Raw genomic sequence first — 23,148 nt, forward strand, 5'->3', positions numbered from 1 at the left:
AGAGCAAGGGAAAAAGTTGTAGCCCTTCAGTTGACAATGACATCTGTGTGTACCTCAAGTTTGACTCAGAATTGAATTTTTAGGCAGCACATGTGTCACATTAAAGAAGGTCAAGTTGATCACCAATGACCAATGGTTTAATCAGTCACGGCTTCGTAAAAACTAAAAAGGACAGAATTCAGAGGGCTTGCAGTTAGTGGAACACGTGGAGGGCCCTGGAGGGTGTCATGCCCAGGACATGATAGCTCTGTACCCCATCCCATGTATCTCACCATATGCATCTCTTCATCTGTGTCCTTTGCAACATTCTTTAGAATAAACCAGTAAATGTGTTTCCCTGAGTCCTGTGGGCTGCTCTTGCAAATTAATCAAACCCAGGGAGAGTCGTGGAAACCCTGACTTGATGCCAGTTGGTCAGAGTTCAGGAGGCTTGGACTTGCAACTAGGAGGAAGGAGGGGGTTGGGGACTGAGCCTACAACCAATGGGATTGGTCACTATCTCCAGGTAGATAGAGTTGGAATTCAGTTGGAGGACACCCAGCTGGTGTCCACTGCTTGGTGGTGAGAAGAAACTCCCACACCTTTGGTCACAGAAGTCTTCTGTGTTTATTGTTCTAGTGTGAGAACAGAGGAGAAGCCTGGTTTGAGTGAGTTTTTCCTGAAGCAAAAGGGAAGAGCTTAATTTCAAAAGGTAAGTTAGTTATATTTTTCTCTAGGAAACAATTGATTGCTTAAAAAGATATGATTAGGCCGGGGGCAGTGGCTCATATCTGTAATCCCAGCACTTTGGGAGGCCAAGGCGGGCGGAACACCTCAAGTCAGGAGTTTGAGACCAGCCTGGCTAGCATGGCGAAACCCCGCCTCTACTAAAAATACAAAAATTAGCTGGGCATGGTGGTGGGCGCCTGTAATCCCAGCTACTCGGGGGGCTGAGGCAGGAGAATCGCTTGAACCCAGGAGGCGGAGGTTGCAGTGAGTTGAGATCATGCCACTGCACTCCAGCTTGGGCAACAGAGCGAGACTCCATCTCAAAAAAAAAAAAGATATGATTAGTTTTAAACAAGGGAAACAAATTCCACTTGCATGTACTATGTGTCACACATCTTTAGCCTTTTGTATCCTGAACATCATTTAAAACTTCCCTCCAGATTAGAAAGTTGAAGTCTGCTCATGGGGCCTTCAGTTGCTGTCTTAGAAATTCACTCTCAGGGTGTCAGAAAGTCCATCCTCCATAGGCATTTACAACAAGGAATTTGATTCCTTCTATCCCTGGTCAACTCCAGGCTTTTTAAAAAAGTAGCTTAATAAATATTAAGAGTGCATTTTTCTTTGTGAAGTTTGACACTCATTAATTAACACAATTGTTGGAAATGGGAATTTTTTTTTTTTTTTTTTTGATGGAGTCTCACTCTGTCACCCAGGCTGGAGTTCAGTGGCATGATCTTGGCTCACTGCAACCTCTGCCTCCTGGGTTCAAGCGATTCTCCTGCCTCAGCCTCCTGAGTAGCTGGGACTACAGGCGCGCACCACCATGCCTAGCTAATTTTTGTATTTTTAGTAGAGGCGGGGTTTCACCATGTTAATCAGGCTGGTCTCGAACTGCTGACCTCGTGATCTACCCTCCTCGGCCTCCCAAAGTGCTGAGATTACAAAGATTAGTGGTAGTAAAGCGGTATGGGTGGCCTAAAATATTTTAGAGACATTACTTACACTTAGAATAGCAAATTACATCCCTATCTGGGCCTGTGTTTAGAATGAGTCAGACGGTTTTTTGTTGCCTGGTGACAGGCGTTGGGGTCACAGAGTCCTCTTTCTGCGATGTTGTGTATGACCCAGAGAGTCTCTGGCAAGATGTGGACAGATCTCTAAAAGGTCGGGGAGCTCAGTCTCCACGAAGCTTGCAGAACCCTCCCCATCTGCCTGCTAATAAACGATTACGTATAAAAATGTCTAAATACGTGGTGGTGTTGAATCTGTGACTTGGTTTTATTATAACCAGGTGGCAGGAAAGTAGCCAACCCTCACTCACATAGAACTTTCCACACTACTGTTTTCTCTTCCAAAATAACCAAGAATTTTTCATGGTCAAGTACAAGTGGAAATGGCTGTCGGTTTGCAACAGCCAGGTTTACCAATGGATAGTGTTTTGCCAGGGGGTGGGACCTAGAATGAAAGGGGCAAGAGATCTGAAGGATGGGCAATGGGAGTGGTTGCACTATGGATCTGTAGAATATTCATCCTCCTAAACTGAATTAGGAGGAATGTAGTCATGGGGGTGGTTAAATGATGAGAAAATATGATGGAGTCTACTGATTGACATGAAGGAAGAATTTTTGCCATGTTCTTTTTAATGTTTTTCTTTTTCTCCTCTAAAAATAAGATTTCAGTAGTGTGACCACAAATTAAACCTTAATGACACCCTAAGTAAAGAAGAGACTGGCCCCTCAGGGAATCCTTTATTATTTAGTATGGTAACTTGCTTCTTGATTTTACAAATATGAATTCTCTTGAAGAGAAATTTTGATCTAAGGCCAACTTTTCCCTTAATGGTTCCTTTGTGTCCATGAAGAGATGGTAAATGCATACAAAGTTATTAGCAGCACTTTTCATAAAATAAAATTTAACACAGAAATTTGCTGCAAAATTAACTGCCAAAAGTTTTATATAGAAATGAATTTCGGGTTAACCACTATTTTATTTTACATTGAACATGGAAATTCACAGAACTTATTGACTTTATTATTCCACTATGTTCTTTCAACATAATTTGCTAGTCTATTAAACTCTTGCCCAGGAAAATAAACCTGAAAATAACCTTATTGCTCATTTCAGGAATATCTTGAAAGACGCATCAACTCACCATTAGAAAACATGAAACGACAGATTATATCCTAAGATTGTGTGAACCTCTTACCTGGAAACCCGTACAATTGCTTTATCTACCAATCCTAAACTATTATATCTTGATCTTTACTCAATCCTAATTACACACCCACATTGAAAGACCTATCTTAATTCAGACTTCAAAATCTTACAAACGTCCAAGTCCCTCCTTTGAAATGCTACTAAGACTGCAGTAAGAATACATGTAAGTATAAACATATCTATATTAGCTTTTTTTAAAACAACAGTGTCATTATCCTTTTTGTGAAACCATATGCTAACATTTATTGAGCATTAATAAGCACTGGGGCTGAGCACCTTCTCACACTGAGTTCTCAAGACAACAGTGTATGAAAGGTACTATTATTATTCCCACTTTACAGAATGGGAAAATGAGGCTTAAAAACATTAAATGCAGTAATTTCCCTATGGTTGCACAAGTAGGAAGGAGAGGGGGCCAGGAGCCCTGGTCGTTTACCCTCAGAGTCCACCTTTTGAACCAATGTTAATCTTCTTTCCAATTCTTTTAGATAAGAATGGTTCTTAATCATGTGCTGCATGTTTCACTGAGTTTTCTTCTTATCTCCTCTTCTAATCGAAACCAGAAGACCCAATATAATATCTAGTGTTCTCACCCAGCCCACATGCTCAATGCTGTAAAGCTGAAAATGGATCCAATGCTGTCGCAGAGAGGCAGAGAGTGAATTCCCAAGAGTTATGAGTCATCCATTCCCCTTTCAGAGCATGCAGTGACTGAGAGGAAGAGAGATACTAACACTTGAAGTAATCCAGTCTATCAATAGGAGATGGACTGCTTTGATTTAAAGCGATTTACAAAAGGATTTGGATACCTCATCTCTCCTGTTTCGCCAAGGTCTTGACTCATCGCTGCAGGTTGTATAATTAGTCTCATTAATCTAGCAAATGATGGCAAAATGCTTGGTAATGATGTCTAACTGGGGTTCCTTTCCAAGGAACCTTTGTTGTTTAATTAGGAGATAATGGATGAGCTTGTAGAGAGACCAGGGTTATAAAAGGCAGTAGCATGTCAATGTGCCCATGCCTAGTTCAATACAATGGTTTTTAAGCCAAGTATTCAAATAAATTGACATTATGTAGGTACATGAATTTAAAAGGGGTCATTATTCACTAACTATATTTTAACATATGCTTAGAGCAACCCATTACTGCTGGGGATAATAAACGGTGCCCAGATGAACAACCACATTGCATACAAAGGATGGTGTCTGAGATCACTACTGGGCCCGACTTAGCCACCATCTTTCCAAATAGAATCATAGGTTTGGAAATTTATCCCTTCTATGGATGAAGCACCAAACTATTAAACTGCAAAACCATTCTGTATTTATTCTTTCCAGCTGCAGTTCCCTTGACAATAAATGAAGAGTTTGTCCTCTGATTATGTTTGATTTGTTCTCTTATTTACCCCAAAAGATTATATTAAAATTTATATTTCAGTTTGGATGGTTTCAGTTGTAAGTAACCAAAAAGCAAACTCAGACTGTCTTAAACAAAAAGGGAGATCTAGCGGCTAGAGGCAGAGCAGGCCTAGCTCTTGAATCAGAGTCCTGGTTTTAGTCTTTGATGTGTCTCTCCACCCTGCCCTTCTCTGACACTCAAATTTCATGGGTGCTACACGTAGAGGGAGGGTAGCATGGAAGGTGTGGAGATAACTACTATGTCTACTTACGTGTCCACGAGTAACCTCATCACCACGTTGGGAGAAGCTACATACGATACTTTTTGGGAGAAACTGAGCTCCGGAGCTGCTTGGTCAATCTCCCTGTAACCGAATCACAGGTTCACTTGATCACCACCTGCAGAGTCCAATCAACAAGAGCAAGGTCTGGTATAAAGAAAGTGACATTTTATTCTAAAGCTAGCTTACGGGAAGAAGTCCAGGCTTCCTGCCTTAAGGGTACTGCTTCAATTTTGGAGGAGAAAGTGGGCACTTTTAAAAGGGGGCCTGGCATGAGCGGCATGCGGGGGAGGGAGTGAGCAGCTGGGGGTCCATGGGACTTGCCTCGGTGCTTTATCTACTGCTCAAGCCGGCACCATCACAGGCAGAACCAGGTTGCAAAGCAGACTTGTCTCAAGATATGCTCCAGGTGGGAGAGAGTTTCATGCCGGGAATACTTTGGGTTGTAAATTGACTGTTGTTTCTTGAGGCATCTCCTTGGGGAGAGGTTTCTGCTCTGGAGCCTCTAAGTAAGTATACAGTTAGATAAGCTTGCCTTGTAAAGAACATCTGGAGAAGGCAGAATGTTATAATTGCATTTCTAAAGAGCTAAGTAGGAAGTGGGGAGATGGGAAAAGGAGAAAAGAGAAAAGAAGAAAATAATAATGAAAAAATAACGCGTTCTCTTTGTCTTAATAAATGGGGATACTTGGTTACATGCCCGCTGACAAAGACTCTCTTCTTGATTAAGCTAAGGCTCCTCTGAGCCATCTTCTCAACTAGGCCTTAACCTTGGCCCATGAGGATGGCTGACTCTCAGCACAGACAATTTTTTCTACCCATTCCCACACTAAGAGACACAAACAAACACTATCATTGTAACCGAACTCAGATCTGGGCTACTCATTGCTTGAAAGCCAAAAACTCAAGAGAGCTTTGGTGAAAAGAAAGTTCGCTTCATTCAAGAAGCCGGCAAACCAGAGGAGGGAGTGAACTAGCACTCAGAGACCACCTCTCGGAGCTTTGCTTCTGGATCTTGATCCAGGGGGGGTTTAAGGGAAATTAGGGGAAATGATGACCAAAACATTTCTGTGAAATGTGCACAATAGGCAGCCAGTTAATCATTGCTTTCTTCATCAGTGTTTCGTGAGCTTCTACAGGTTCGTCAGCCCATTCTTAGAGCTGTTGGTTGGCAAATTTTCTTTTATCTCTGTTGAAGATCTTGTTTTCCTGTAGCTGTTATTAGTAAATAATGCACAAACTCAAGCGAAGCAATAATTGCATTCAAGCAAGCTTTTCTCTAACAAGGAGTCAGCACTGTCACAGCACGGTTCCTAATAGCTCAAGGATGCACTCCTGGGATGAGGACTCCAGGCTCCTTAAGTTCCTGCCTGGGAAAACTCAAGGCTGCCAGAATGATTTACTTTTTGTTCCAGCCAACCCCTGAAGATAGGGCACCTGCCTTCTAGTCTCCATGGGAGGACAGAAGCCTAACTGGATAATCGCCAGTTAACAAACACAGATGGACTAATCACGTAAACCAACCACCTCCTTCCCGCTTTTTTAAGTTTCTGCTTCCCTGACTCCACTGAGCCTATGTTCCATCCCTACTCCTACTTTCTGATTCTTTCCTTGAAACACCCAGTCACCTGTGCACAGAACAAAAGATGAACTCAGTTTATGCTGGACACTTCCCTTTGCAATAGACTGAATAAAATCTGTTCTCATCAACTTTAACTAGCGTCCAGCATTGGCACCATGTTCTTTAAGAATGACTTCCAAGTCCCTACTCCTTCCCAGCCCTCTTCATTGTGGTTTGTGTTTGTAGAACACAGAGTTAAAGTAAGACCTGTTATTGTTATGGACCACAGGTTCTTAAGCTCCCACGCAATAGAAATTGACACAAAGCCAAGCAAGTTTCCCAGACAAGGCTTTATTGAGGGCTTATGCTTGAGCACAAGGGAGACAGCACAGGATGAAGGATTCCCTGGCTGGCTCCCTGGGAAGAGCTGCTTGGGATCTTTTATTTGGGGGAAGAAAAGGGGTCAACGTTAAATAAAAGGTATGTAAACATGATTTGGAAGGAATTTCAGCCATGCAAGGGCAGTGTAGAGACATACTTTTTCATATATCACATGGCAGATAAGCCTCTCATCGGGCAGGGATTTTAGTATTATAATGAGGCAAGGGTCCGGATTGGTCATTCTCATGGTCTTGTGCACATGCAGGTGACAGGGTTAACTCCCTTGAGTAAGATTTATAGTGGAATGCTCCTGATGTTAGCTTCTTCACGCAGTTTGCAAGATCTGATCAGTGGGGGTGGCGCCAGCTGGCGGGTGCTGCAAGCTCTGGCGGTCAGCAGACATGTATAGAAAAATACATTAGTCAGGGTGGGCTGAGTAACAGGTGGGCTACTCTGTCTCATTACTTTGTACTTAGAAGAACTGCTGAAATCTTCCATGTACCAATACCTTGAAAAAGTAGCTGGCTATGGCTTAGAGACGTAACTTGAAATTGTTTTTATAGGTGACAACTTTGTGGTTGTGAATAAATACCTATACCAATGTATAATGTAGCAAATTTTGTAATTTAAAAATTACTCAAAAGTCTTTCACATCCCTTATGTCTGGCTTATGGGTTTACTTTCAGATGACTAAATCCCATTGAGCTAAATCTCCTGAGGTTTTCCTGGAGTTGGAAGAATCCATCTATTTTGCTAGGGAAGCAAAGAGGTAAAACTCTTTTCCTTCAAAAGGCTTTGGGGAGTTGTAATGTCTAAGATACCCAAGGAATACCAAGGCAGATGTGTTATGAAATGCTAGCATCAATTAAGTAATTCACTTATTCCATCAATGACCCTCAGTCACAGGCCACCGAAACACCCCTATAGTTAAAAGTTGGGCTTATGACTTATTGCAGCAAGAGAGAACACACACCACGGAGGAAATGGGGCGGCCCCGTAAGAGGTGTTGAAAACAAACAATGATAGGATTTAGGCTTTGACTGGGTGAGCTGGGAGGGGGCTCTAAGGAAGTAGAGGTTTCTCTAGAGTGGATTATGCCTATGATCTCAGTCAATCTTCTGTATGCAGAGGAGAGACTAAACTGAGGATAAAGCTGCAATTGGCAAAGAAGTAGCAGTCACTCATGTTAGTCTAGAGAGGGGATGTTTGACATTTGTGGGTGGCACAGTGGCCTTGCTTTTCTTTGTGTTTAGATGAAATTATGAAGTTATGAAAATTATAATTTATAAATAAAATTATAAAATTATGAAGTTATGAAATTATAAATGGTGCCCAGATGAACAACCACACTGAGTACAAAGGATGGTGTCTGAGATCACGGAGGTGGGCCTGCTTCATTTCATTTGACAGTGGCCTCAGAGTAAGCTTCGTTGAGGTTGGTGTTCTGTGTGACTGTTGATGTCTGGTGGGAGAATAACATGGCCTGGCTGTGGGATCCAGGCCGGCTTCTGAATGCGAAGGGCTGCTGCTTTCTCTTTCCTCATCCATTCTACGTCGCTAAAGCGCTCACTGAGTGCTGGGGTCGCACAGTAGAAATGGTTTCTGTCTTTAAGGGATCTACAATGAGTGTTAAAAGCAGATGGAAAATAGACAATGGGCAATTAATTAGTCAACAAATATGAACCAAGTGCCCCATGGGGCAGGTTCTGTTGTGGACACGGGAAATATGAAGGAAAGCACAGACAGAGACCCTCTGCCCTCACGGAGTCCTCATTCTAGCAGAAAGAGACAAGCAATAAACAAAGCAAAGAAGTATGTTATCCATTGCGTTTGAGGGTAATTATGGGGAAAAGAAAAAGCAGAGTTAGAGGAATGACACCCGTAAGAGGGAATGGCAAGGGTTGCAACATTAAACTGGGTGGCAGAGGGGGTATGCTATGATGAGTGTATACGGAACCATTATATGGAGGAAATACACAACCGCTCAGGCATAATTTTTTATCCATTTTTTTGATAACTTATAAACCAGGGAAAAATAAGATATGCACTGTTTTATTTACTATATACAAGAAATCAGGTTTAGGTATGTTGAATCAATGCAACTTTACAGAAATATTACGTACATTCTTTATGGAAACAAAATAATTTGAAGTATGTTTTCCCACTTATCAACATCCTGTAAAATTTGGAAACGGTGATCACTGCTTTTTATACTGCAGAAAAGGAGGAAGATATGTAATTGGTCTGTATTTGTTTATTTACTGTAACTTTAATTGATTGTTATATTTTTCTGCCACAGATGCTGGACCGTGACACGAATGTGGCCATTTCCACTGTCACCAAGCTCCCCTAGGTCTCCATCAGCTTCAGTGACCTGGGCTCTTTCACTTCTCAGAGATGCTCATCTGTGCATCTCCTGTCAGTTCTCGCTCTTTTTTTTGAGATGGAATCTCACTCTGTCGCCCAGGCTGGAATGAAGTGGCACGATCTTGGCTCACTGCAATCTTCACCTCCCAGGTTCAAGTGATTCTCCTGCCTCAGCCTTTCAAGTAGCTGGGATTACAGGCGTGCACCACCATGCCTGGCTACTTTTTGTAATTTTAGTAGAGATAAGGTTTCACCACGTTGGCCAGGCTGGTCTCGAACTCCTGATCTTAAGTGATCTGCCCGCCTTGGCTTCCCAAAGTGCTGGGATTACAGGCATAAGCCACTGTACCCGCCTCCTGTCAGTTCTCTTAAAATAGCCGAGTGATCTTTCCTTCCCATTCATCTGCTATCTGTCTGCTGGCTCTTTCTTGCCAATAAAGACTCATTTTCTCCTATCTAGACTTCTCTGGCATGAGGAATGAGCCAATTTAATGCATGTCTTAGGTGGGAGTGTGGTGAGTTGCGGAAAGGAGGTTTGGGGAGCTGGATTCTCTGTGAAAACGTGTAGCAAGGAGAAAGGTCACTGGGGAGATTATCATCTGCAAGGCATGAGAGGCTGTTCTATTGTCATTCACATGTCATCAGCCCAGTTATTAATACTTTCCTTCCTCTACCCCCTTGTCGTTGTTAAGGAGTTCCTTGGAAAAAACAAGTACTTTCCCTCCCCTGGTTGGTGTCTCTGTGTCTTCAAGATACTGCCTATTTTTTTGAGGTTTCAACACAAACAGATCTAGTCATGGCAAAATGGTGACATTAATTCTGACTTCCCAGCTTCAACACTCTTCCCCTAAGAGGCAGAGAATCCTAGCACAGTAAGGGGTCTTAATGTTCTGGTCAACCCTTCTTGCCCACACTAGTCATGGAAGTCTTTGTTGAAATGCCCCCAGTGAAAGGAGGTTCATTTCCACCCAAGGTAGCTCATTCAATTTTGCCACAACTGTGTGTGTGTGTGCGTGTGTGTAAATGTGTGGGTGCATGTGTGTATGTGTGTGTTGGTCCATGTGTGTGTGGCTTCCTCCACCCATTAATTGTAATTCTAGCAGTTGGGGCCATGAAGAAAAATGCAACAACTCTTCTGGGCAGGAGGCTTTTAGATGACTGAGTACTCTTTTGACATGTTTCTTTATTTCTTTACCATCGATCTCTTTCCTCCAGGATTAGCATAATCAGTTCTTGTTTTTTTTTTTTTGTTTTTTTTTTTTTATTTCTCTGAGAGGGACTCTTGGTCTATCAGCCAGGCTGGAGTGCCGTGGTGTGATCTGGGCTCACTGCAACCTCTGCCTCCCAGGATCAAGCGATTCTCCTGCCTCAGCCTCCCAAGTAAGTGGGATTACAGGCATGTGCCACCACGCCTGGTTAATTTTTGTATTTTTATTAGAGATGGGGTTTCACCATGTTGGCCAGGCTAATCTCAGACTCCTGATTTCAAGTGATCTGCCCACCTCAGCCTCCCAAAGTGCTGGGATTACAGGCGTGAGCCACCACACCTGGCCATTGCTTTTGTCTTCTTGCAGCTATCAGTGTGTACTCCAATGCTTCATAAATTTGAGTAAAATGCAGATTCCTTAAAATAAATCACAATATTATGCTCTCTCTCTCTCTTCCCCTCTCTTTCTATATATATATATATATATATATATATATATATATATATATATATATATATCTGATTACTGACTGAATTAGTTTTTATTATTTAAACCTAAGATTTAAAACCCTTCTGTTCATAGTCCTTAAACATGAAACTTAAAAATTAAGATTAAGTGTAGAATTAGCAATTTAACAGGACAGATTAAAATGTGTTTTACTGAAGCCAAATTATTTTCAATGTGAAGATACTACTACTATCATATAGCATGCATTTACATTGTTTATTGATTCCTTGTTATAACCCAATTCTCCTACCATTTGTTCTGTATATAAAATGAGGATACAAAATGTATTGTCTCCTCAAAGGGTTAGTGTGAGACTTGCACGAAATCATGCATATCAAGCACAATGCTTATTGCAGGATAATGGTCAAAAATGGCAGATATTATTACTATAATTGTTATTGCTGGTGCTACGTTATCATTGGTGCTTTGTCTGCTTGCAGATTCGAATGGAATACAATAAAACCTTGCTGACAAACATCTTTCAAGTTTAGGTCTAGTTTCCAGTCCCCATCATGACTTTTAAAATTTGCTCTGAAAATTCCTGGTCATGACTCTTTCTAAATTAAACAGACTTTCAAGTTGCATATTAAAACGTGGGTCACCTCAGGGCAAGCTAGAAAGCCAGGGAGGAGTTATAATGATGTATAAAGGACATTCCATGTTGCATCTTCCTCTACTTCTCTGAAAGAGCTCAAAATTAATGTTCAGAATCAAGAAAATACTACGGACCTGTCTTCAATATCGTGGCTGCCCCAAGATAGATAAAGTTTTGATTTTCTTTGTCTTTGAATGTAATACATGGTAGTTCCTTGAAGGTTAATGAACTGCTCACAGAGTTTTGGTATAATAAATCTTTACACAAACTTTCATGCGCGTCCGTGTGAAGAGACCACCAAACAGGCTTTGTGTGAGCAACATGGCTGTTTATTTCACCTGGGTGCAGGCAGGCTGAGTCCGAAAAGAGAGTCAGTGAAGGGAGATAGGGGTGGGGCCGTTTTATAGGATTTGGGTAGGTAAAGGAAAATTACAGTCAAAGGGGGTTTGTTCTCTGGCGGGCAGGAGTGGGGGTCGCAAGGTGTTCAGTGGGGGTGCTTTTTGAGCCAGGATGAGCCAGGAAAAGGACTTTCACAAGGTAATGTCATCACTTAAGGCAAGGACTGGCCATTTGCACTTCTTTTGCGGTGGAATGTCATCAGTTAAGGTGGGGCAGGGCATATTCACTTCTTTTGTGATTCTTCAGTTACTTCAGGCCATCTGGGCATATACGTGCAAGTCACAGGGGATGTGATGGCTTGGCTTGGGCTCAGAGGCCTGACATTCCTGCCTTCTGATATTAATAAGAAAAATAAAACAAAATAATGTTGAAGTGTTGGGGCAGCGAAAATTTTTGGGGGGTGGTATGGAGAGAGAATGGGCGATGTTTCTGAGGGCTGTTTCAAGCGGGATTAGGGGTGGCTTGGGAACCTAGAGTGGGAGAGATTAAGCTGAAGGGAGGTCTTGTGGTAAGGGGTGATATTGTGGGGATGTTAGAAGAAACATTTGTCATATAGAATGATTGGTGATGGCCTAGATACGGTTTTGGATGAATTGAGAAACTAAATGGAATAACAGAAGGAGAAAAACAGGTATAAAATGTCTAAGAATTGGGATGACTCAGGATATCTGATTAGAGAGTGCCTAAGGAGATTCAGCATAGTCCTGCCAGCAAAGATTATTTATTTACTTCAAGAGTTAAGAGTGGCAGTTTGGGGATAGCACCAGGAGATATCAGCTGTGATGGCTTGGAAAAACAGTGTAAACCAGCAGTGTAAACAAGAGCAGGGCATGTATGAGTAGTTGAGAACGGTGAATAGGAGTATGACTAGACAGAAGATAGTAGGGATGACAAGTTTTTTGGGGCACAGTCCAAGTTGGTCTGGTGTCTGGAATGAGACTGGGGCCTAATAAAAAGGAGCGTCTATACAAGAGCTTAAATGGGCTGTACCCTGTAGCATTCTAAGGACAGGCCTGAATTCTGAGAAGGGAAAGTGGTAAAAGTATTGTCCAGTCCTTTTTAAGTTGGTGGCTGAGCTTGGTGAGGTGTGTTTTTAATAGACCATTAGTCCTTTCTACTTTTCTTGAAGATGGAGGACCGTAAGGGATATAAAGGTTTCACTGAATACTAAGAGCCTGAAAAACTGCTTGGCTCATTTGACTAATGAAGGCTCATCTGTTATCAGACTGTATTGAGGTGGGAAGGCTAAACTGAGGAATTATGTCTGACAGAATGGAAGAAATGACTGCGGTGGCCTTCTCAGACCCTGTAGGAAAGGCTTGTACCTATCCAGTGAAAGTGTCTACCTAGACCAAGAGATATGTTAGTTTTCTGACTCAGGGCATGTGGAGTAAAGCTAATTTGCCAGTCCTGGGTGGGGCAATTCCTCGAGCTTGATGTGTGGGGAAGGGAGGAGGCCTGAATAATCCCTGAGGAGTAGTAGAATAGCAGATGGAACACTGAGAAGTTATTTCCTTGAGGATAGATTTCCACGATGGAAAAGAAATGAGAGGTTCTAAGAGGTGGGCTAGTGGCTTGTACTATAGCAAAACCTGCCTTTGCTGGTGTGTGGCGATTAGGCCTGGTGGAACCGCCATCAATAAATCAAGCATGATCAGGGTGAGGAATAGGAAAGAAGGAAATTTGGGGAAACGGGGTGAATGTCAGGTGGATCAGAGAGATAGTCATGGGGGTCAGGTGTGGTATCAGGAATAATGTGGGAGGCCGGATTGAAGTCTGGGCCAGGAACAATGGTAATTGTGGGAGGCTCAACAAAGTGTGAGTATAGCTGAAGGAGCCAGGAAGCAGAAAGTATATCCATCAGGTATGAGGAAGAAAATAGATTTTGGAAGTTAGGAGAACTGTAGAGAATGAGTTGAGCACAGTTTGTGATTTTGAGGGCCTCTAAAAGTACTAAAGCAGTGGCAGCCGCTGCATGCAGACATGAGGGCTAGGCTAAAACAGTAAGGTCAAGTTGTTTGGACAGAAAGCCTACAGGGTGTTGTCCTGGCTCTTGTGTAAGAATTCTGACCGCGCTAACCATGCCTAGGAAGGAAAGGAGTTGTCGTTTTGTAGAAGGTGCTTGGGTTTGAGAGATCAGTCGGACACGATTGGCAGGGAGAGCACGTGTGTTTTTATGAGAATTATGCAGAGATAGGTAACAGATGAGGAAGAAATTTGGGCTTGATTGAAGTAATGGGGGCTGTCTGTGAACCTTTGCAGCAGTACAGCCTAGGTAATTTGCTGAGCTTGATGGGTGTCAGGGTCAGTCCAAATGAAAGTGAAGAGAGGCTGGGATGAAGGGTGCAAAGGAATAGTAAAGAAAGCATGTTTGAGATCTAGAACAGAATAATGGGTTGTAGAGGCAGGTATTGAGGATAGGAGAGTATATGGGTTTGGCGCCATGGGGTGGATAGGCAAAACAATTTGGTTGATAAGGCGCAGATCCTGAACTAAATTGTAAGGCTTGTCTGGTTTTAGGACAGGTAAAATGGGGGAATTGTAAGGAGAGTTTATAGGTTTTAAAAGGCCATGCTTTAGCAGGCGAGTGATAACAGGCTTTAATCTTTTTAAAGCGTGCTGTGGGATGGGATATTGGCGTTGAGTGGGGTAAGGGTGATTAGGTTTTAATGAGATGGTAAGGGGTGCATGACCGGTCGCCAAGGAGGGAGTAGAGATATCTTATACTTGTGGGTTAAGGTGGGGGGATACAAGAGGAGGACACAAAGGAGGCTTTGGATTGGGAAGAAGGGCGGCAATGAGACATAGCTGTAGTCCAGGAATAGTCAGGGAAGCAGATAATTTAGTTAAAGTGTCTCAGCCTAATAAGGGAGCTGGGCAGGTGGGGATAACTAAAAAGGAGTGCTTAAAAGAGTATTGTCTAAGTTGGCACCAGAGTTGGGGAGTTTTAAGAGGTTTAGAAGCCTGGCCGTCAATATCCACAACAGTTATGGAGGCAAGGGAAACAGGCCCTTGAAAAGAAGGTAATGTGGCGTGGGTGGCCTCCGTATTGATTAAGAAGGGGACGGGCTTACCTTCCACTGTGAGAGTTACCGGAAGCTCGGCGTCCGTGATGGTCTAGGGGGCTTCCGAGGCGATCCGGCAGCGTCAGTCTTCAGCCGCTAAGCCGAGAAGATCTGCGAAGGAGTCAGAGAGCCTTGGGCCAGAGTTCCAGGGCCTCTGGGAGTGGCTGCCAGGTGAGTTGAACAGTCCAATTTTCAGTGGGGTCCCACACAGATGGGACACAGGTTAGGAGGAATCCCGGGCTGCGGGCATTCCTTGGCCCAGTGGCCAGATTTCCGGCACATGTAGCAAGCTCCTGTGGGAGGAGGTTCTGGAGGAACGCCTGGCCGCTGTGGTTCAGGCGTTTGGAAGTTCTTGGGTGCTGGAGATGTGGCTGGGGTTTGTCTCACAGTGGAGGCAAGGAATTGCAACTTTTTTCTATTATTGTACACCTTGAAGGCGAGGTTCATTAAATCCTGTTGTGGGGTTTGAGGGCTGGAATTTAATTTTTGGAGTTTTATTTAGTGTCGGGAGCAGATTGGGTAATAAAATGTATATTGAGAATAAGACGGCCTTTTGACCTTTTAGGGTCTAGGGCTGTAAAGTGTCTCAGGGTTGCTGCCAAAGGAGTCATGAACTGGGCTGGGTTTTTATATTTGATGAAAAAGATCCTAAACGCTTCTGATTTGGGATAAAGAAAAAGGAGCATTAACCTTGACTATGCCTTTAGCTCCAGCCACCGTTTTAAGAGTAAATTGCTGGGCAGGAGGGGGAGGGCTAGTCACTGAACGAAACTGTAAGCCGGACCAGGTGTGAGGAGGGGAGGTGATGAAAGGATTACAGGGTGGAGGAGCAGAGGCTGAGGAAGAATTGGGACCTAGCTCGGCCTGGCAAGGAGCAGCCTGGGGAGGAAGGGAGAGGTCAGATGGGTCTGTAGAAAAGGAAGATTAGAAAGACTCAGTGACGCTTGGGGTTGGTACTGAGGGGACAGGCGGGAGGGAAAGAAGGAAGATTTGGGACGAGTTGCAATGGGCACAGACTAGGAAGGGACTGATGTGTAAAAGAATACCTGGACATCAGGCACCTCAGACCATTTGCCTATTTTACAACAAGAATTATTTAGATCTTGCAGGATGGAAAAATTCAAAGTGCCATTTTCTGGCTATTTGGAACTACTGTCGAGTTTGTATTGGGGTCAAGAGACATTGCAGAAGAAAATAAGGCATTTAGGTTTTAGGTCAGGTGTGAGTTGAGGTTTTAAGTTTTTGAGAACACAGGCCAAGGGAGTAGAAGGAGGAATGGAGGGTGGAAGTTTCCCATAGTGAAGGAAGCAAGCCTAGAGAAAAGAGAGAGTAGAGAAATGGAAGGAAGGGGTTCAGGGGTTCTTACCTTCCAGAAAAGTGGGAAAAGGGGTTGGGGCTCAGAGATAAGAGGTCAGGGCACGGAAATAAGGGATGGGGCGCAGAAATAAGAGGTCGGGGCGTGGAAATAAGGGATTGGGGTGCAGAGATATGAGGTTGGGGCATGGAAATAAGGGATTGGGGTGCAGAGATATGAGGTTGGGGCATGGAAATAAGGGATTGGGGCACAGAGATATGAGGTTGGGGTACTTGCCCCTCCTCTAGAAAAGCGGGACTTGCCACTAAGAGTGAAGGAGAAGGGGTTGAGTGGTACTTGCCCCTCCCCCAGAAAAGCGGGACTTGTCGCTAAGGGTGAAGGAGAAGGGGTTGAGGGGTACTTGCCCCTCTCCAAGAAAAGCTGAGAAGGGGTAGAGACAAGGAGAGAAGGGGTTGGGGTACTTGCCCTGTCCCTGGAAAAGCAGAGAAGGGGTAGAGACAAGGAGAGAAGGGGTTGGGGTACTTGCCCCTTCCCCAGAAAAGCGGGAATTGCTGCTAAGGGTGAAGGACCAAGGCAGGCATCCCTGCATGGTCTGACACCCTTGAAACGTGGGTTAATAATCAGAGAGGCGTCCCTGCAATGATTAAACAACAAGGGAAGGCTGCCTTCCCAGTCCGTGACCGGTGCCAGAGTTTTGGGTCCACGGATAAAACATGTCTCCTTTGTCTCTACCAGAAAATGAAAGGAATTGAAATTAAGAGAAGGGAGAGATTGAAGTGTGGCACCAAGATTGAAAGGAGAAAGAGGTTGAGGGATAGTGAGGGAAGTTGGAGAAGAGAGTAAGAAGAGGCTGCTTACCGGATTTGAAATTGGTGAGATGTTTCTTGGGCTGGTCGGTCTGAGGACCTGAGGTCATAGGTGGATCTTTCTCATGGATCAAAGAGCAGGAGGACAGGGGATTGATCTCCCAAGGGAGGTCCCCCGATCCGAGTCACGGCACCAAATTTCATGCGTGTCCGTGTGAAGAGACCACCAAACAGGCTTTGTGTGAGCAATATGGCTGTTTATTTCACCTGGGCGCAGGCAGGCTGAGTCCAAAAATAGAGTCAGTGAAGGGAGATGGGGGTGGGGCCGTTTTATAGGATTTGGGTAGGTAAAGGAAAATTACAGTCAAAGGGGGTTTGTTCTCTGGCGGGCAGGAGTGGGGGTCGCAAGGTGCCCAGTGGAGGTGCTTTTTGAGTCAGGATGAGCTAGGAAAAGGACTTTCACAAGGTAATGTCATCACTTAAGGCAAGGACCAGCCATTTACACTTCTTTTGTGGTGGAATGTCATCAGTTAAGGTGGGGCAGGGCATATTCACTTCTTTTATGATTCTTCAGTTACTTCAGGTCATCTGGGTATACGTGCAAGTCACAGGGGATGCGATGGCTTGGCTTGGGCTCAGAGGCGTGACATAAACTTCTTTCCATCCATATTGCCATAAAGAGTAGGTCTACAATGTTATTGAGTCCTGAAATTATATTACCTTCCTATTGCCATTCACCAAAACTAGAATTGGCAAAAATGTTCATTGTTGTTTTTTAAAATCTCATCAAAAAAGAAGTCATCTCCTTGAATTTATTTGCCTTTTGGATGATCATATTTTGAGTCACGAAGCAATAGTAACTCTTATGCTCAGGTTTTTACTATAGGGCAATGGGGCAGTTAGACTGGACACTATCTGTGAGTGGGGTCTTGTGTCCAGATTCACACAGGAGCCCCTATGTTAGAGAAGATTTAACTAATGCATAAATATTTGAAACTGTATTATCAACTCAGCTCAGGTAGCAGTTTCCTTTTTTTATTCAGAATACTTACACGGAGACACACTGAAGAACAGACAGACGTACACATCCCCCATGCACACCCCACAAAACTTTCTGATGTCTAGCTAAAATGAAACTAAAGACCTTGGTTGTTTCAAATCAAGGTCTCTGGTAGTAATTTCCAGTAATTGTTTTAAAATATCTCTTTTAAGTCAGGAGAACTGGGGAAGACCTGTTTTGCCCTGGCTCATGCTTTTAGCAGTTACATTTCTCAGCTTTTTATTCAGAAATATCTTGATTTTCAATTTCCAAAGTGGAGACTTAGGCTTCAAGAAGTCTTTTCAGGTGGTACAAGGGCCTGGTAGTATTAAAAGAGTTAATGTCCAGATTCTTGACTCGAGTTTCATGTGTCCTTTCCCCAAAGATGATGTCTGAGAATGCATTTGGGGCAACTTCTCATGCTTTTCTTTTTTTGCCATTTCTCTTCACAATCACCCTTCTCTTATTTTCTCAAAGAAAGGTAGAACTCTCACCCACCTGGGATCCTCACAGGATGCGTTGCTCCAGGCTGCAAAAACCTCTGTGAATTCTCACCCATCTGGTATCTTAACAGGATGCATTGCCCCAGGATGCAAAATCCTCTGTGCCTTCAGTCAAATGGTCCATTGAAAACAGTAGTGTCTGGAGTCATCCCTTAATCAAGGTGCCATTAATACATGGGAGTGGTCCAGTCCAGGCAGGTGAAGCAAGGCATTAGCATGAAGGCAGGCTCGTAGGATATTCTGAACCCAGATACATCATAGACAATGGGTTTGCCACAGGGATGACATTAGAAAAAAAAATACTTTACCTTTTTTATCTCCCAATCATGGTCAAATGATCTCACTTTGGAGAGAAAATCTGGTGAGAATGAAATAGAGACTGCTAAGTCTGAAGTAGGGAACGATTATGAAAACCTCTGCAGGCACAGCACCTTAATCAACTCAGGCAGCAAACTCCTGGCAAAGCCCTCACCTCCATCATCTGTCCATCTATCCATCCACTCAGCCATCTATCTTCAAATAGGAGAGTTTTAACATTTGCTAAAAGGCTACATGCATCCCCTCTGCATGTTTGCCATTCTCAGGATTGAGGAGCTGCTGGGTGAAGGATGTCATTCATCCCTGTCTCAGTTTCAGTTGCACGTTTTGCATGATTTTGAGGAAGAGAAAGGAAACAGATCCATAATTATTTTCCAAAGATCACCTCTTTAAGTAAAACATCGGTTTTCTATACTGCATAACAGGTGATTGCAAATGCAGTAGCTTAAAACGGTGTCCATGAGTCAGGAGTCAAGAGGGCTCAGCTGGGTTCTGTGCTTGGCATCTCACCAGGCTGAAAGGGAGCTGTGGGCCAGGGCTGCTAATCTCATCTCAGGTGCAGGGTTCTCTTCCAAGCTCACTGGTGGCTAGAGTCGTTTCATTGCAGTTGTATGGCTGAAGTCCCATTTTCCTGATTGCTGTTAACAGGCACTGCTCTTAGCTCCTGGAGGCTGCTGGTAGCTCCCTATGATGTGGTCCCTTCAGGAAGTTCAGAAGATGACCATTTGTTTCCTTCCTTCCAGCCAGCAGGAGCACGGCTACTGTTGCTTCTTTTCTCTATAAGGACCTGCCTGGCTAGATCATATCCACCCAGGATGTTCTCCCTTATGGTTAACTCAAAGTCAACTGATTTGCTACCCAATCACGGCTGTATCTTCTCACATTCACAGTTCCCATCCACATTCTAGGGAAGGGGGATGACACATGGGGTGGGAATCTTGGAGATGCTATTAGAATTCTCCCTACCACAATCCACCCTCTGGCCCTCAATGATTTATTTATCCCAAATGCAAACTACATCAACATCTCCAAAAGTCGCAAGTCTCATTTACAGCATTAGTTCAAAGCCTAAAATCTCATCTATATTTTATCAGCTCAAATCTAAAATCTAAATCAGTACCAAATGGAAATGAGGCTGTTAGGTGTAATCCATTGCGTACAGCTACTGGGGCACCACTTCTCTTCATTTGCTGATATGTGAAACTAAAACTACAAATTATTTGCTCCCAACATACAGTGGTAGGATAGGCATAGAATCACAGCTGCAGACTTTGCGTTCAAAAAATGGAGAAATGAAAGGTAAAAGCCACCTGTTAAAGGCAATTCCAAAATGCATCTGAGCAAATAGAAGTTTCTTGATTAGATTTCAAGATTGCAGAATAATTTTCCCAGGCTCTTGGATCTCCCCCCGGGGCTTGTGATTCCATCCTAGGAATCATCTTTCCTTTTTCATGAAAGGTAGCTCCTGTTTGCAGTTGAGTAGTTTTGTCAGCTTGCTCCCTGACAGAGAATTTTGCGGATTCAATAGCATCTTTTCGTTTCTTACTGTGTCTCTTTCAGCCCAAGCTGGCAGTTTTTCCGCTGGAACAATTTTCTTAAGAAGTCGGTCACGCCTGTAATCCCAGCACTGTGGGAGGTGGAGGCAGGCGGATCACAAGGTCAGGAGATCGAGACCATCCTAGCTAACACGGTGAAACCCCGTCTCTACTAAAAATACAAAAAATTAGCCGGCCGTGTTGGCGGGCGCCTGTAGTCCCAGCTACTCGGGAGGCTGAGGCAGGAGAATGGAGTGAACCCGGGAGGCGGAGCTTGCAGTGAGCCGAGATCGCGCCACTGCACTCCAGCCTGGGTGACAGAGCGAGACGACGTCTCAAAAAAAAAAAAAAAAAAAAAAAGAAAAAAGAAAAAAAAAAGGTCAGTGGGTCTTTGGTGAATTTCACTGGATGTCACTGTATTTGATAAAAGCCACATCCACAGATCTTTTCAAGGTAATCAGTTCACTCTCTTTAGCTTCTGTGGAAATGGCTGAAGGATACCCTAGTTCTCCCTAGAGGCTCTTTGACGTGATTGACGTATACCTTTACTCTCTTAAAAGGGCCCTTTATTTAACTGAATACACTGGCTTTTTGATCTTTCTGAAGTTGATCTATTCAACCGTTGGTAGATGTTTTGGTTATTTCCAGTTTTGGGCTACTATAAAGAAAGCTGCTGTAAATGCTTGTTTACAAGTCTTTGTGTGGGCACATACTTTCATTTCTCTTAGGTAAATATTTAGGAGTGCAATTGCTGGGTAGTAGGGGAAAGACCTTATGGGAAACTGTTAAATTTTTTCCAAAATTGTTTTACCACTTTACATTCCTACCAGCAATGTATGCCGCTTCTGATTGTTCAATATTTTAAATTTTAGCAATTTTAGTGGCTCTATAGTGATATCTCTTAATGATTTTAATTTGCATTTCCCTGATGATGACAACACATTGGGTATTTGTCATGTGCTTATTGACTATTAACACAAATGTATTTGTAAAGTGTCTATTCAAGTTGTTTTGCCCATGTTTTTAATGGGTTGTCTTTTTATTATTAAATTGAAGGGATTCTTTATACATTCTGGATACAGGTTCTGTTTTAGATTTAGGTATTGCAAATAGTTTTGCCCAGTCTGTGGCTCACCCTTTCATTTTCTTAACAGTGTTTTTTAATGAGAAATTTTTTATTTTGATGAAGTGTAGCTAATCAATATTTTCTTTTATAGTTAGTGATTTCTGGATCCTGTCTAATAAATATTTGTCTGCTAGGTCTTGAAGATATTCTCCTATGCTTTTCCTAGAAGTTTTATAGTATTAATTTTTACATTTAGGCCTATAATCCACCATGAATTTACTTTTATATGCAATGTGAGATATGCTTCCAGGTATGTTTTATTCTGTACGTATATGTAACTGTTCCATCTCCAATTACTTAATGACTTACACTTTCCCATTCAGTTGCTTTGGTGTCTCACTTGTAAATAAATTGACCATATGAATTTAGGTCTATTTCTGGACTCTTTATTCTGTTCCATTGATTTTGTTTTCTATATTTATGCCAATACCATGCTAACTTTTCAGTTGTAGCTGTATAGAAAGTATTAAAGTAAGGTAGATAGGCTCTTTAGCTTTACTGTTCTTTTTCTAGATTGTTTTGGCAACTGTAAATCCTTTCAATTTCCATATACATCTTAGAATCTGTCAATGCCTACCAAAAATGCTACAATTTTGATAAGGATTGGATGAAATTTATAAATCAATTTGGGGGAAATTTCTTCTTATGAAAAGTTAGAAATAATTCTTGTTCCCTTATGTAATGTGTCATTTCTTTCTGTCTGCTTTCAAGATTTTCTCTTTGCCTCTAGTTTTTAGAAGTTTGCCTATGATATGCTTAAAGCCGAATGTGTTTTGTTTTTATTCTGTTAGAGATCACTGAGCTTGTTGGGTCTGTAAGATCATGTTTTTCTTGTTGGGTCATGTAAGATCATGTTTTTCACAACCACAGCAAGACAGAAACTAACATTTAAATAATTTTTATTTTAAGATATTTGTGGCAAAGAAAGTTTAGAAGTAAATCTGTGAGCAGAATGACATAGTACAAAGATGTTTTTGCACATACGGAGATTAGAAAAAAACAAATTTAGTCTACCTATCTGATACAAAGTATATTTTATAAGGTAAAAAATAAGTTGATATAAACAAGGTTAGCCAATGACTTTTTAAAGTAAAAGTATTTTCTTTGAATAGGTTATAGTTCTTTTCCTTAGTGTAGCTATTATTTACCTGCATTTCAATCAATAGATTTTGAAGGGATTCAAATCCTTGCTTGGATGCCTTTTCTCTTCTCTTCTGTCTCCTCTCCTCTCCTGTCCTCTCCTCTCCTGTCCTCTCTTCTCCTCTCCTCTCCTCTCCTCTCTTCTCCTCTCCTCTCCTCTCCTCTCCTCTCCTCTCCTCTCCTCTCCTCTCCTCCCCTCCCCTCCCCTCCCTCTCCCCTCCCCTCCTTTTCTCTTCTCTTCTCTTCTTTCATTATTTTCCTTATCTATAGACCATCCAGAAACTAGCATTTCTAATATAATATAGATGTAAATTTCCAAACTAGCATAAAAATGCAAATTCTAAGACTAAACATTTCAATGAAGCTTAGCAATGAAGTTAATATATCTTATCTCCAAATTGAGTTTCATAAAATATAGAATTATTTGAAGTATCAGATGTTATTGGACATTATTTGAAGTATTGGACATTAAAAAAAACTCAAAGAATAAGAAAATAAAACTGATTATAAATCAGAAGTGTTGTCCATTTAAATTCGCTGTGACAGACAAAAGAAAAGAAGAATACTAGGGTCAGACGCAGTGACCCACGCCTGTAATCCTAGTATTTTGGGAGGCCGAGGCAGGTGGATCACCTGAGACCAGGAGTTCGAGAGCAGACTGGCCAACATGGAGAAACCAC

The 23,148-nt window shown here is 42.5% G+C and overlaps 1 long non-coding RNA gene across 1 annotated transcript, besides 1 other annotated feature; it reads left to right on the top strand.

Annotated features, from left to right (window-relative positions):
- Positions 1-630: 630 nt before the first annotated feature.
- LINC02648 (long intergenic non-protein coding RNA 2648) lies at positions 631-21,696 on the top strand. The gene is made up of 6 exons (NR_120634.1): positions 631-691; positions 2,833-3,088; positions 3,625-3,777; positions 7,232-7,314; positions 8,845-10,292; positions 20,228-21,696. It is a non-coding gene; the product is annotated as a long intergenic non-protein coding RNA 2648 (long non-coding RNA).
- Positions 11,664-12,235: an enhancer, noted in NCBI's record as "OCT4-NANOG-H3K27ac hESC enhancer chr10:6671711-6672282 (GRCh37/hg19 assembly coordinates)". NCBI's record gives its function as "activates a minimal SCP1, AML or CMV promoter by ChIP-STARR-seq in naive and primed H9 embryonic stem cells {active_cell/tissue: H9 hESC(naive and primed)}" and the evidence as "EXISTENCE:reporter gene assay evidence [ECO:0000049][PMID:30033119]".
- Positions 21,697-23,148: the final 1,452 nt, after the last annotated feature.

Source organism: Homo sapiens, chromosome 10 (genome assembly GCF_000001405.40).
Source record: "Homo sapiens chromosome 10, GRCh38.p14 Primary Assembly".
Classification (NCBI taxonomy): Eukaryota; Metazoa; Chordata; class Mammalia; order Primates; family Hominidae; genus Homo; species Homo sapiens.